Source organism: Homo sapiens, chromosome 16 (genome assembly GCF_000001405.40).
Source record: "Homo sapiens chromosome 16, GRCh38.p14 Primary Assembly".
NCBI lineage: Eukaryota > Metazoa > Chordata > Mammalia > Primates > Hominidae > Homo > Homo sapiens.
Window position 1 is genome coordinate 1086807 of NC_000016.10, and position 13259 is coordinate 1100065.

General features: G+C 64.1%; 1 protein-coding gene across 5 annotated transcripts; it reads right to left on the minus strand.

Annotated features, from left to right (window-relative positions):
• Positions 1-1419: 1419 nt before the first annotated feature.
• Positions 1420-9500, minus strand: C1QTNF8 (C1q and TNF related 8). Of its 5 annotated transcripts, none has more exons than XR_001751901.1 (5): positions 8809-9500; positions 7909-8127; positions 6691-7245; positions 3204-3788; positions 1420-2771 (listed from the first exon to the last, which is right to left on the minus strand). XR_001751901.1 is itself a non-coding variant. In NM_207419.3 (5 exons), exons 3-4 carry the CDS (start codon positions 8114-8116, stop codon positions 6695-6697), a joined length of 759 nt encoding a protein of 252 aa, NP_997302.2. In that variant the 5' UTR covers positions 8117-8127; positions 8809-8982; positions 9350-9438; the 3' UTR covers positions 1420-3788; positions 6691-6694. The 5 variants fall into 5 exon arrangements, 4 of the variants coding, with proteins under 4 accessions (NP_997302.2, XP_047290056.1, XP_047290055.1 ...); NM_207419.3 differs by having other exon boundaries at positions 1420-3788; positions 8809-8982; positions 9350-9438; XM_047434100.1 differs by having other exon boundaries at positions 2608-3788.
• Between the last annotated feature and the right edge of the window lie 3759 nt (positions 9501-13259).

A 13259-nucleotide genomic window follows, 5' to 3' on the forward strand; every position in this document is an offset into this window, starting at 1 on the left:
TGTGTGTTTTTAGTAGAGACGGGGTTTCACTATGTTGGCCAGGCTGGTCTCAATCTCCTGATCTCAGATGATGCACCTGCCTCAGTCTCCCAAAGTGCTGGGATTACAGGTGTGAGCCACTATGCCCAGCTGGTCCCACATGTTTCTAAAGATTATATGGCTGAAAATTATTTCATTCAACTGAAATTTGTATTATCACATGACATGAATTTTTTTTTCTTTTTTTTTTGAGACAGAGTTTTGCTCTTCTTGCCTAGGCTGGAGTGCAATGGTGCGATCTCGGCTCGCCGCAACCTCTGCCTCGCAGGTTCAAGCAATTTACCTGCCTCAGCCTCCCGAGTAGCTGGGATTACAGGCATGTGCCACCACACCCGGCTAATTTTGTAATTTTAGTAGAGACGGGGTTTCTCCATGTTGGTCAGGCTGGTCTTGAACTCCCGACCTCAGGTGATCCGCCCGCCTCGGTTTCCCAAAGTGCTGGGATTACAGGCGACATGAATTTCAAATGAAAAATACCCCTCCTTGTGGCTGCCTCTGCCTTCCTGGTATATTTCCTGGTATATGGGGCGCCCTCTTGTTCTTTGGGGGCGAGGAGCTCTGGCAGTCTGGTGTCTGCTTGGTGGCCACTGTGTTATGATATCTAATAGGGAAAGTCTCCACCCACCACTGAGCTGAGCTAAAATTGTTTAGAATCCTATCCATTCTTTCAGGTTCTCTTCAACACTGCTTTTACAAAAATTTAAAAAATGGAATTTGGGCCAGCGTGGTGGCTCATGCCTACAATCCCAGCACTTTGGGAGGCCGAGGCTGGAGGATCAGTTGAGCCCAGGAGTTCAAGACCAGCTTGGGCAACATGGCGAAACCCCATCTCTACAAGAAAAAAATTTTTAAATTAGTTGAGCGTGGTGGCATGTGCCTGCAGTCCCAGCGACTTGAGAGGCTGGGGTGGGAGGACGGCTTGAGCCCAGGAGTTCAAAGCTGCAGTGAGTGACTGTGTCACCGCACATCAGCCTGGGTGACAGAAAAAGACCTTGTCAAAAAAAAAAAAAAAAAATGGAGTGTTTACAGAAATGTTCATAGTAGCATTATCTATAACCCATAATAGCCAAAAGGTAGAAACAACCCAGGTGTCCATCAATAAACAATGGACAAACAAATGTGGTCCATCCACAGGACAGAATATTACTTGTGTGACTCCATTTCCATGAAATGCCCAGAACGGGGCCGTTCACAGACACAGAGAGGAACAGTGGCTGCCAGGGGGTGGATGGGGAGCGGGGAGTGACTGCTGAGGGGTGCCCGTTTCTTTCGGGGGGACGGAACCGTTTGGGAACTAGACAGAGGTGACGGCTGAGTGTGCAGTGCCATGCAACTGTTCACTCTCGAATGCTCAATTCTACGTAATATGAATTTCACCTAAACATTTAAAATTGGATTTTTACTGGAATTCCACTAAACGGATAAAGTTACATGGGATAAGCTGCCTCCCCAGCCCGATGCTTGCCTGGAATGTCACAGGGATGTCCCCGCGGGAAGCCGCGTTCCCCAGTCCCTTCCTGTGCGGTTGACTCATGATTAAAGCCAGCACGGGCCGACCACGGGGGTGCCCGGTGCGGTTCTGATGGGGTGGCTCCCCCTTGTCTCCTAAGTGGCCAGGGCAGCACGAGGCTGTCGCTGCTTTTCGTGTCTCTGGCCTCTACCAAGCATCCCTCTTTCCGCTCCCACCTGGCACTGGCAGCGTCCCTCAGGCTTTTATCACTTGGCAGAGAATCGTGACCGTATCTTATCTCACTTTCAGTTCTCAGTCATTGTTTTTTAAACAAATAAACCTGGAAGGTTGGCGGGATGCAGGTCCTGCTGTCTGAGGCTCTCACAGGCATCTCCCCACCCCGGTTCTCTGAGAACCAGGGTCGCCACTGGCATTCATTAGACACCCCCGCCAGCTTCCAAGAGACCTTGCACCCCTGCCCGCCTGACCCCTGCTGCAGCCCGACCCCTGCCCGCCTGACCCCTGCTGCTTCTTAGTATCCGCAGCTGCAACTACCTATAGGCCACGGCGACGTCTGTGCGGGGAGGTCCAGCCTGTCCCTCGGAATAAGCGCCTGGCTTCGGGGCTGCTGTGGTCACGTCTGGGTCCTTGGCTGGGCCTGGTGACGGGCACTTTCTGAGCTCCCTGGTGCAGGGGCTGGCGTCTTCCCGGGACTCTCTTCCTCAGGACCACCTGCCACCCTGGCAGCACAGGCTCACTGGAATCACAGAGGCTGGAGACCCCAGGGCAGCCGGGCCAGGGCCAGGGCCAGGGAAAGGAACGGTTGTCTGGGATTCTGGGGTGCTTCCCCAGCACAGAACAGGCAGCCTGCGAGAGGAGATGTCCTCCCTGGCCCTGGGGTGGTCCGGACCCCTGGCTCCCATCTCCCATCCAGCCCTGCTCTCTCACCGGGGCCAAGAACCTCTGCATGGCCAGCCGGGACCCCCACCCCCAGCAGCCCATACCCCCCACCTCTGGTTCTTCAAGCACCTGCCACACTTGACCCCAACAGGCTCCTCCTGGGGATCCCCCCAAGCAGGAACCCCTGGAGCCGTGCAGCTGTCCTCCGGGGCCTGGACACCAAGGGCTCGGCTCTGGGCAGTGCCCACTTGGGACCTGCAAGCCCAGGGCCCCTCACAGCTGCTCTGGGGTCCCCGACAGAGGCCTTTGCGCACCCCCTGCTGCACGGGAAGCTGAGGCGACAGGCAGAGCTGGCAGGGACACGGGCTCTGTGTGGGGTGGGCGGGACGTGGCTGCAGCCTGGCTCTGCCTGCGTGGCACTGGGTGTCCTCACTTGGGAACGGGCTGAGTGAGCACAAGGCTCCCCAGAGTGCTGACCAGGCGCCCTGCTGCTGCAGCCAGGACCAGGCTGTGGGCTTCTCTCCTGGCACCTCTTAGCGCCACCGGCCGTCAGCACACGGGGTAGGGCTGGGGGTGTCCCGGTCGGGGTGGGAGGCCTGGGGTCTGCCAATCTCCCCTCGGCCCACCCCTTCCTGTTCGGGCGCCTTTCTCTCTAAGGCGGAAGCCTCTGTGCCAAGGCCCCGTGAGTGCCCGGAGATGGCTCCGACCCCTGCCGGTTGCCGGGCGCCCTGGGTGTGTCCCGCTATCCCAGCCAGGAGCAGACTCAGGCCCTGGGCCAAAGTGCAGCCTGAGGCCCCGCCCACCTCAGTGTGGGGCGAAGGAGAGGGAAGGTTCCGGGTCCAGCCCCAGCGCCAGTGCCCCTCCTGTCTCTAGCAGGGCCAGGGTTCACCAGCCACGGCCACCGGCCCCAGCCCCTCCTGTCCTTGGTTGTCACCACACTTCCAGAAGCCCTGCTACCGCCCCCCCACAGACACACAAGGTGGGACTTGAGTACGGGGCCACTTGGGGGTGCTGAGGGGCAGCCTGGCCCCAGGGACAGCCTCAGGGAAAGAGGTGGATGCCGGGCGACTTGGGAGGCAGCAGGCTTGGGCAGTGGGTGGGGGTGGCGCAGCCGGGACAGAGCCCCTCTCCCTGCAGAGGGGCCATGTGTGCACAGCAAATGGCGGGCCCCTGTAGCCGCCCCTCCTCCTGTCCTGCGCTGTTGGGGGCCACGCTTGTTCCCCCGCCTGCCTGGGGAGTGGCTCCAGCACACACACGCGGGTTCTGCAGACTCTGGCCGGGCCTCAGAGCACCATCTCCCAAGGGCAGGGCACCCTCTGTCCCAGGACAGGAGTGAGGCGAAGTGGAGAGGCGGGCGCGCCAGCCGGGGCTCCCAGAGTCCCCACAGGCGGACGTCTGTCTGTAAGGAGGGGACGGCACTTCCTGAGGGTGGGGCTGGGAGGTCCGGAGTCTTCACACAAAAACGGCGGCTGTGTTGGGAGATGGCCCCTGACCCCCATCTCCTGCCACCCTGCCCCCTCCTCCCCCGGTTCCTTTGCCCGACGCCCACTGCCGGTTGCCCCCAGGCCTGGCCCAGTGGTGGGTGGTGGGGATGACTGAGCAGCCCCTCAGGCTGGGGCCCCACAGCAACAGGGAGGGTCACTGTTCCCAGCTGCTTCCTCCCAGCCAGTGTGTGCTGCCAGATGGACAGACAAGGTCCCCCTGACCTGGGGGCTGCAGCCCGTGCCCTCCTACCTCCCTCCTCGGCTGGCCCCACCCTGCAGGGTGCACCCTGATGTTGGGGGCTGTCCTCTCACAGACCCTCCTGGGGCAGGCTGTGGGCCCAGCTGCTCAGAGATTGGTCAGTACTGGTGGGGGCCCCTGTGGGGAGGGAGTGGGGGCAGGGCAGGCCCTAAAGAGGGGGATGGGCGAGCCGGGCACTCCATGGGCCGGGATGTCCCAGAGTGGACAAGGATCAAGGGGCCGTGGGGGCACCTGGGACCCCGCATCCCTTCATCTGTTCGGCACCCATGGGCCCCCATGAGCCCACGCTGGGTGCACCTGTGGGGGCTCTCCTGCCCCCACCCGGGGATGCTTTATGGAAGGCCTTGTGAGGGTTCCAGGCAGCATGGCTGAGCTGCTCCTGATGCTGCTCCTGCCCGGGCCCAGTGGCCGCGCTGCCACAAATAGCACACCAAGGAGGAGGAGGCGGTGCGTGGGAGGCTGGGCCGGAGGGGCTGGGAAGAGGGGGAGGGAGGCCCAGGTCAGGTGGAGGTGGTTCCAGAGACAAGTGAGCACGTGGCTGGGAGAGCTTCCGGGAGGGGCCACAGCTGCTCCAGCCGGGGAGGGTAACAGAGGCTTCCAGTGACCAGAGCTGGGCCAGCCTCTTGCCTGGAGGGACCGACCCACCCACACTCCCAAATGGGGCCCTCTCTGCCCCCACAACTGCAGCCAGGCCATGTGGACCTGACTTTCATCCCTGTCTAAGCATAAGGCAACTCCGTGGGGGTCTGAGGCTTCCTCCGGCTCTGGTGCCCATCAGGGTCCAATCTTCCTCCAGCCCCCACACATTCAGACAGACTGAGGACCCATGAGCCCCCAAAACTGACCCCCTGCGCTCAGCCGCGTGTTTCCTGCCAAGGACAAGCCACCACTAGAGCAGCCCCACCCTCCCGGCCACCGTGAGTGCTGGGTGCCCCTCACACCGCCTGGAAGTGACCGTCTTCCTTCCACCCTTTTGGCCTCCCCTGGGTCCATCCACACCGGGCAGGTGCTTGGCAAATACGCAATGTCGAATGAATGTCTCCTCAGCAAGGGTGCCTGGCACAGCTTTTATAAGCAGAATGGCCCCTCGGCCGTGAGGGCGAGTACCTGGGTGAGCAACCGGGCTCCGACCACCCCATGAGGAGGCACCCAGCTCGCTCTACCACCTGGCTACGCCCACCGCACACCCAGTACCACAGGCCTCCGTCCATGTGGCTTCATGTGGTCCTTTCCTGTGCGCCAGCCCCTGTGAGGGCAGGTGCGGGTCAGACTTGCTCCCAACACACCCAGCACTCCACATGGCCCAGTCCCTGCACACAGTCGGCACTCAATCAATCCCTGCACACAGCTGGCACTCAATCAGTCCCTGCACACAGTCGGCGCTCAATCAATCCCTGCACACAGTCGGCGCTCAATCAATCCCTGCACACAGTCGGGGCACAACCAATCCCTGCACACAGTCGGCGCTCAATCAATCACTGCACACAGTCGGCACTCAACCAATCACAGCACACAGTCGTCGCTCAACCAATCACAGCACACAGTCGGCACTCAACCAATCCCTGCACACAGTCGGCGCTCAACCAATCACAGCACACAGTCGGCGCTCAATCAATCCCTGCACACAGTCGGCGCTCAACCAATCCCTGCACACAGTCGGCGCTCAACAAATCACTGCACACAGTCGGCGCTCAACCAATCACAGCACACAGTCGGCGCTCAACCAATCACAGCACACAGTCGGCGCTCAACCAATCCCTGCACACAGTCGGCGCTCAACCAATCACAGCACACAGTCGGCGCTCAACCAATCACAGCACACAGTCGGCGCTCAACCAATCACAGCACACAGTCGGCACTCAACCAATCCCTGCACACAGTCGGCGCTCAACCAATCACAGCACACAGTCGGCGCTCAATCAATCCCTGCACACAGTCGGCGCTCAACCAATCCCTGCACACAGTCGGCGCTCAACAAATCACTGCACACAGTCGGCGCTCAACCAATCACAGCACACAGTCGGCGCTCAACCAATCCCTGCACACAGTCGGCGCTCAATCAATCCCTGCACACAGTCGGCGCTCAACCAATCCCTGCACACAGTCGGCGCTCAACCAATCACTGCACACAGTCGGCGCTCAACCAATCACAGCACACAGTCGGCGCTCAACCAATCCCTGCACACAGTCGGTGCTCAACAAATCACAGCACACAGTCGGCGCTCAATCAATCCCTGCACACAGTCGGCGCTCAACCAATCACAGCACACAGTCGGCGCTCAACCAATCACAGCACACAGTCGGCGCTCAACCAATCCCTGCACACAGTCGGCGCTCAACAAATCACTGCACACAGTCGGCGCTCAACCAATCCCTGCACACAGTCAGCGCTCAACAAATCACTGCACACAGTCGGCGCTGAAGCTCCGCTGCCCGCCCACCCCACCACACCCACACCCACCCACACACACACACCCACACCCACCCCCACACACACACACACAGACACACACACACACGCGCGCGCGCGCCCGGTGCTCAGCCGCGGGGCCCCTCACCCGGCTACAGCTCGGCGGCCGGCTTGACCAGGTGGCCGCTGAAGGTGATGTAGAGGTCTCCGTGCTCGCCGTAGATGGCGTTGTCCCGGTCGCGCTGGAACATGCGCACCCAGACGGCGTCGCCCGCCGCCAGCAGCAGCATCAGGCTCTGGGCCTGCATGACGCTGCGCTCGCTGGGCTGCGCGTAGAGCACGGCCGCGGGCCGCCGGTTCAGCATGATGTGCAGGTAGGTCTCCTTGTAGTTCCAGGTGTGCACGTTGAGGCTGAGGAAGTAGACGCCGGGCACCGTGCAGAGGAAGCGGCCCGCGGCCAGGTCGAAGGCGCCGTCCAGGTTCACCAGCTCCGTGTCGAAGGGCACCGCCTGGAAGTGGTCGGAGCTGTGCAGGCCCTCGCGCCGGCCCACGGAGAAGGCGGCGTAGGCACGTCGGCACGCGGCGCCCGGCGGCCCCACCTGCCCCTTCTGGCCTCTGCGGCCCTGCAGGCCCCGGGCGCCTGGCGGCCCCTCTTTCCCGCTCCTGCCGGCCCGACCTCGGACGCCGGCCTCACCCTTCTCACCTGCAGGGGACAAACGAAAGCCACGGGTCGGGGCCGGGCTGGGCAGGCCTCCCCCATTCCAGCACCCAGGCCAGGGGCTGGGGCTCAAGGGTCACTGTAAGGACACACTCTTTGCAAGTGACGGCCCCTCTCCCAGTCTCCGCGTCCACGTCTGTAAGATGGGGAGAAGCCGTTCTCCAAAGGTGTGGCTAGACCAAGGCCTGTGGCAAGGCCGTCCCCACCGAGAGGGTGGGGACATGGGTGGTCAGGGCCAGCTACGGTCTGCGTTGGGTGTTAAAGAATGAGAAGGCTGGGAAGGTCCTACCCAAGCCTAACCTTAGTACAGCCTTCGGGACAGCGCAGCCGTGTCAAGGGGTCTCAGAGCAAGCGGGCTGCCCAGGCTCCCTTCCCAAGGGGCTGCTACTTTGGGGATCTCAGGAACCCTGGCCCCCTTCCCCAGGATCCTCAGCACCCCACTTTGGTTCATGGGTCCCTCCCCAAGCCAGGCTTCTTCCTGCTTGCGGGGGGAGCCCAGGGGTCCCTGTGCAGGGAGCGCTGCCAGGGCAGACACTGGTGCTCAGCGTGCCCCTCCCGCCCCTCCTCCCAAGCCCCAGGTGCTCCCCACTCCCTGTGGGCTGTTGGGTCCTGGTGGGGGAGCATGCAGGCAGCACCCACGGGCCTCACCTTTGAGGATTTCGATGTCTATAGTGGGCCGTACTCGAGGCAGCCCCCTCCACAGGTCCCCCCTCCACAGGTCCCTGTCACTCACCCGGGCATAGGGTCCAGGGGGCCAGGCCGGGCGGCAGCAGTGCACACAGGGCCTCCTGGGCAGCCCGGGCCAGGCCCCCACGGGCAGCAGCAGTGCTAGGAGCAGCAGGGCGGGGGCTGCCATCTTGGCCAGGGCTGGGGGAGAGGAAAGAGGGGAGGGACTGAGAAGGAGGTGCCCCAGCTGGAGCCCCCAGACCCTACGGCAGCCCGGCCCTGCCCCCGTTGGGAATACAGCCAGTGGAGGCGGGAGCTTCTGCCTGGGCACGGACGGTCCTGGCCCAGTGGGTGAGGCCAAGGCCGAGGCTCAGGGGCTGCTACACTCTGGGCCGCACCAGGCACCCTGCACACCTGGAGTCGGGGAGTCCTGGTCCCCAAAGCTGGGGCCCCCACACCCGGCAGATGGTGGGGAAGCCGTTGTGGGACACAGAGGTCTCTGAGACAGCCCTCTAAACTCAGGAGCGGGTAGCCGCCCAAGGCCCCACCCACTGTGGCTGGGCAGAGCCCTGGGGCGTGGTGGCTGGTCTGCTCCAGGGAAAGGCCCCCCAAGGCTGGCCTGGGGTGGGGGGCCCTGCACAGTGCACAGAGGCACCGTCTCAGCCAGGCCCAGAGAGCCTCTCGTCCGGAGCCCCCAGGGCAGGGCCTGCAGGGGCCTCGGGAGGCCACTCCTCTGCCTCCCCCAGACTAGGGAAGGATGGTCCCACCTTGGTGCCGAGGGGAAGCCAGAGCCAACCTGGGTCCCCCTGAGCAAGGTAGGCCCCCTCCCAACAGCAGCTGCCCCAACAAGCCTGGCCCCCCTGCCAGGTGGGCCTTGCCTACCCCACTCCCCTCACAGCCACATCTGGAGGCTTGGCCAGGAGTGTCTTCCGCTAGGGCAGGTGCACGGGTCGGGATCCTCAATATTCCCTGAAGATGGGCTCTGCTGGACAAAGATCTAGGCTGCCTCCTTCAGGAAGCCCTCTGGGATTGTAGCACAGGGCAAGGTCCTTCCTCCTGCAGTGGGTCATTCCAGGTGGGTGGAATGTCTCTGGCAGTTGAGACACCCTCTGCCTGCCTCCCCATGAGCTCAGCAGACCCTGACTCACCCCCTGGCCCCACTGGACACCACAAGAGCCCCCCTGGACTCCTCCGGCAGAGGGAGCCTGGCAGGAGTGGGTGTGTGCATGCACGGAGGCCTGCAGGAGCCCCCACGGAGTTCCCGGCCGTCCCAGCCCCTGGCCCTGCCTGGCAGACAATCAGGGCTGGATCATGCTCCGCTGGGGTTCAGGGGGAGCCCGACCTGCCCAGGGCGGCTGTGAAGACTCCCACAACCAGCCCCAGGCCCTGTGCTTCCTGTTACCGTCTCAGGGATGCTCCCTGCCTGGCCGGCCGTCTGTGTTACTGTCCCAGCAACCCAGCCGTCAAAGAGCCCTTTCATGCCCGCCTGGGCGCCCGTGGCTTCCTCTGGGCTGTCCAAGAGCAACAGGCCGAGAGGCCAGCTCCGCCGAGCCCTGGACAGGATCCTGGCAGGGCCCCTGTGTCCACTGCGAAGCCTGCCTCGCGGCCCCAGGGTCCTCCTGCCAGCCCCGTGCCCATGAGCGGGGCTGGGGCCCGGCGTCTTGGCCGGCTGGGTTGGGGGATGGTGCCGTGGGCACGCAGCTCTCCTCCATCGGGAAACCAAGCCTGCTGCCCGCCTGGGGTGCGGCGCCCTGAGGAGAAGCAGGCAGATGGAAGCTGTGGCTGGGCGGGCCCGGCGGGGGGGCTGTAGGCCGAGGCCCGTGTTCGGGGCCCAGACCAGGGCCTCCATGCTGCACGGGGCCCCCATGGCCACCAAGCCACCGGGTGACGCACAGCCCTCATGCTGCTGGCGGGGAAGCCAGGCTGGATGGAGCCCAGGAGCGCAGCCTCCCCAGGCTCCGTGGGGTCTCTTCATTCCCTCATGACACCCCTGGGGAGGCCCCGCACCAGCCCCGCCTCTCAGCGGATAAGGACTGGGCCGGACGACTCGCGGGAATGACTTCTAGGCCTCCCAGGCCTCAGCGGGCGGGGGCTCCATTCTCTGTGGGCCCCAGGCCAAGCCCACACAGCACCTTGGCCTTGTCCCGCTCCGACCCTGGGCCTCTGGACACGGACACGCGGCCATTCCCCACAGGTCCTTCCTCCACAAGCCGGCCCCTGTTGTGGGAGGTGCTGGACGTGGCAGGAGAATTGTGGCGGCCTTGCCTGAAAGCAGGCTGTGGGCGGGGAGGGGCCCCGAGCTGGCTCAGTCCCCTCGGCAGATTTGTGTGCGACCTGGGGTCCCGCTCTCCCCGCAGCCCCTCAGCTTGGCCTGGCCCTCAGCACCCCCATGCTAAAGACCGAGGAGGAAAGGAGGACAGGAGGTGAGGGGAGACCAAGGGGTCCCCCCTGTGGGAGCTTCGTGTGCCAGGCTGCGGGCAACGGGCTGGGGAGGGCTGTGGTGGGGACCGCACCAGCTGTAGCCGGTTCCAGGCTCCCCCCTCCAGGTGGCCCTGGGCGGTGACAGCTCACCCTTGGCAGCGGCACCCACTAGGCCCAGCGGCCCCCTCTGGGGACAGCCATCTTCACCCTGTTGGCTGTGGTGACACAGATGGGGTGTGAAGACCTGAGCGCCTGTGACTATGGCACCTGCATCCGACCGAGCCGGCTCAGCGTGGCTGTGCCCTGGGCGGCGAGAACACAGCTCTGCAGATGTGTCCCAGTGGGACAGTGTGCTCCTGGGGCTTGCAGAGAAAGACGGGCGGACGCCCACACTCTGCTGTGCCCTGGGTCTGAGCCTCAGCCTCCCATGCCCGTGAAATGGGCACCCATGGAGCTCAGAAGTATCCAGAGCGTCCCTGAGGCCTAGACACAGGGAACCCTGTGCCCCTCAGTGCCCCCCGACGCCAGCAGAACTGCCCCCTAAAAAGAGAGGCATGTTCCTGACAGTCCCCCTTGAGGGCAGGTCCCAGAGCCTCCCCACGCACAGAGCAGGGTGGAGGGAGGCTGAGGGGTGGGTGAACGGCCCGGGAAGGGTGCCTTTGGGTCCCTTGGGTTCGGGTGGCCCGGGATGACCCGTCCTGGGGAGAGTCCGTCTGGGCAGGCGGCTGGCAGGGCCGATGCCTGAACTATGTGGCACAGAAGCTGCAGGCCAGGCCTGAGTGGGGTGGGCAGGGAGCGCGGGGGGTGACTCAGTGGGGCAGGACAGCATGTCTCCTGGACAGAAATAGCCCTGGCCAGGCATGACCGCGGCATTGCCGTGGCGACGGGGGAGCGGCTGCTGCCGGGTGCCCTGGGGCCCACCCCCCACAGACACCCAGCAGCGTCCCAGGCGGGCCCCGGGAGGGCCGCCCCCTCTCCGTGCTGCGGGGCGCTTGTGCCAGTGAGGTGCGGGTGGAGGTGCCAGGCACTGGGGGAGGGGGCCTCAGCAAGACCCCCGACTCCACCCCTCTCTCCCAGCCTTCAGCTCCCTGCTGTACAGACTGGGGGCTCCTGGACGCCTGGGCTCACTCAGCCCCCGAGAGGAGTGGATGATCTTTCTAAAGGAAGGCGTTTGGGGTCCACCCAGAAAGTGGGGAGGGCTCCATCCCTGGGTTTCAGGATTTTACTACTAGACTGCGAAAGTCTGGGCCTCCTTTTTCAGCACAAGGCGGGCGGCCCCCGCGTGCCCTAGTCCAGTGGTCTGCCTGCACGTGGGGGAGTGGGGAGGTCAGGAAATTGGGGGCGGGGGTGTTGGCCCCTCTCCAGCCGGGGAGTCGCCCCCATTGCTGCAGCCATCAGCCTGGCCCTGACGTGGGAGCACAGTGGGCGCAGGGACCCCTGGGCTCAGTGTCCCCAGCTGTAAAGTGCACGTGAGGCCTGACATTGGAACCTGCCTTGTGCTCGGAACAGCGCCTGGCTCCGTGTTCCCAGGCTGGTGCCACCAGCCAGCCTCAGCGACTCCTTCCAGGCCCCCTCCCCCGTGCCCCAACCCTCGGCTTCTCATCAGCCACCCCCTCCCCGAGGGGACATGCCAGAGCGCTGCCTGGGCCTGGGCAATAATGAGGCCTGAGTGCGCGGCCGGCGCGGAGGGACCATTATCTCCCAAGGCTCTTAATGGCCACTGGCCGAGAGTACATGTGATGAGCCGCCACAGGAGGTGACAGCAGCCGGCAGCTCCCTGTGGGGCTGGAGCAGACACGGCACGGGGACCTCACCCCAAACCCACACCCACGGAGGCTGGCACGGGGTCTGAGTTCCACCCAGAGCCCTGGATGCGGGATGGGGCAGTGCCAGGCCACCCCTCCTGCAGCTGCCACCCACCCACACCCTCCCCCTCCCTGGCCATGGTGTCCCAGGTGGCAGGGAGTGAAGCCCCCACCCAGGAGCCTCCCGTGGCTCAGGGGCCTTTGAGTTCACCAGCTTCTGCCTGGCTCCAGGCCCCCCCATGCCAGGGGGACTGCAGAGAGGCGGTTCCTCGTTCCCCCGGCAGGTCACTGCTCCAGACCGTCTGGTGCTCTTGAGCAGCTTTGAGGGGCTGCGTGCACAGGACATGAGCTGCCTGCAGCCCCCGGGTGAGGCTCCACGCTGGGTCCTCTTCTCTGTTCCTGGCTGCTCAGACCCAGTGGCAACAGCACCCAGGGTGAATTTTAATGGCCCCAAAGAATGAGAGTCGGGCCCTGGTTGTCGCCGTGGTGACCGGCGGCTCCTAACGAACAACATGGCTTCCGTGGTGACAGGAGGTGACATTTTCTCTGGAACATCCTGTGCTGGAGAGAAGGTTCTGGAAGCTCTCAGGCCCACCTTTCAGGGTCAGGGTCTGCCCCTCTGGGAGGGGCCAGGTGGGCAGAGGAATCGTTGCTGCCCGGCAGTGGGGCTCCGAGCTGGTGGGGGGCCCGGTCCGGTCAGCAATGAGCCTATCGCAGCACGGCCTCTCCCAAATCACAGCAGCTGCCCTGCTCCCTGGGCGGTCCCGGGGCTGCAGGAGAAAGGGCAGGAGGACCCATCCGTGCTAAGGCTTGGAGCTGAATCACGTGGCAGGGCCTGGGCTTTCCCGGGCCTCGGCGTCCTGTCTGCAAAACGGGGATAAGTACCCTCTCTCCGGGGTCACCAGCATGGGCTGGGGCCTGGCCACTGCCTACATGCAGCTCCCCCCACCACCAGACAGCAGGGGGGACCGCCTGAGTCCATCCCACCTGCTGGGGGTGCCCTCGCACGCCCCCGCCACACACACCTCTTCCTCCCACAGGGCCCAGGGCTGAGGGAGAGGGGCTGCCTGGGCAGGCACCCGGGTGAGAGAGCCCAGAGACCTGAAG

Excerpts from the sequence above, each read along its gene's own strand:
- C1QTNF8 (NM_207419.3), bottom strand. The coding sequence starts at position 8,116 with ATGGCAGCCCCCGCCCTGCTGCTCCTAGCACTGCTGCTGCCCGTGGGG. Across the intron at positions 7,246-7,908 it reads AGACATCGAAATCCTCAAAG|GTGAGAAGGGTGAGGCCGGC; the intron begins GTGAGGCCCGTG and ends TGTCCCCTGCAG.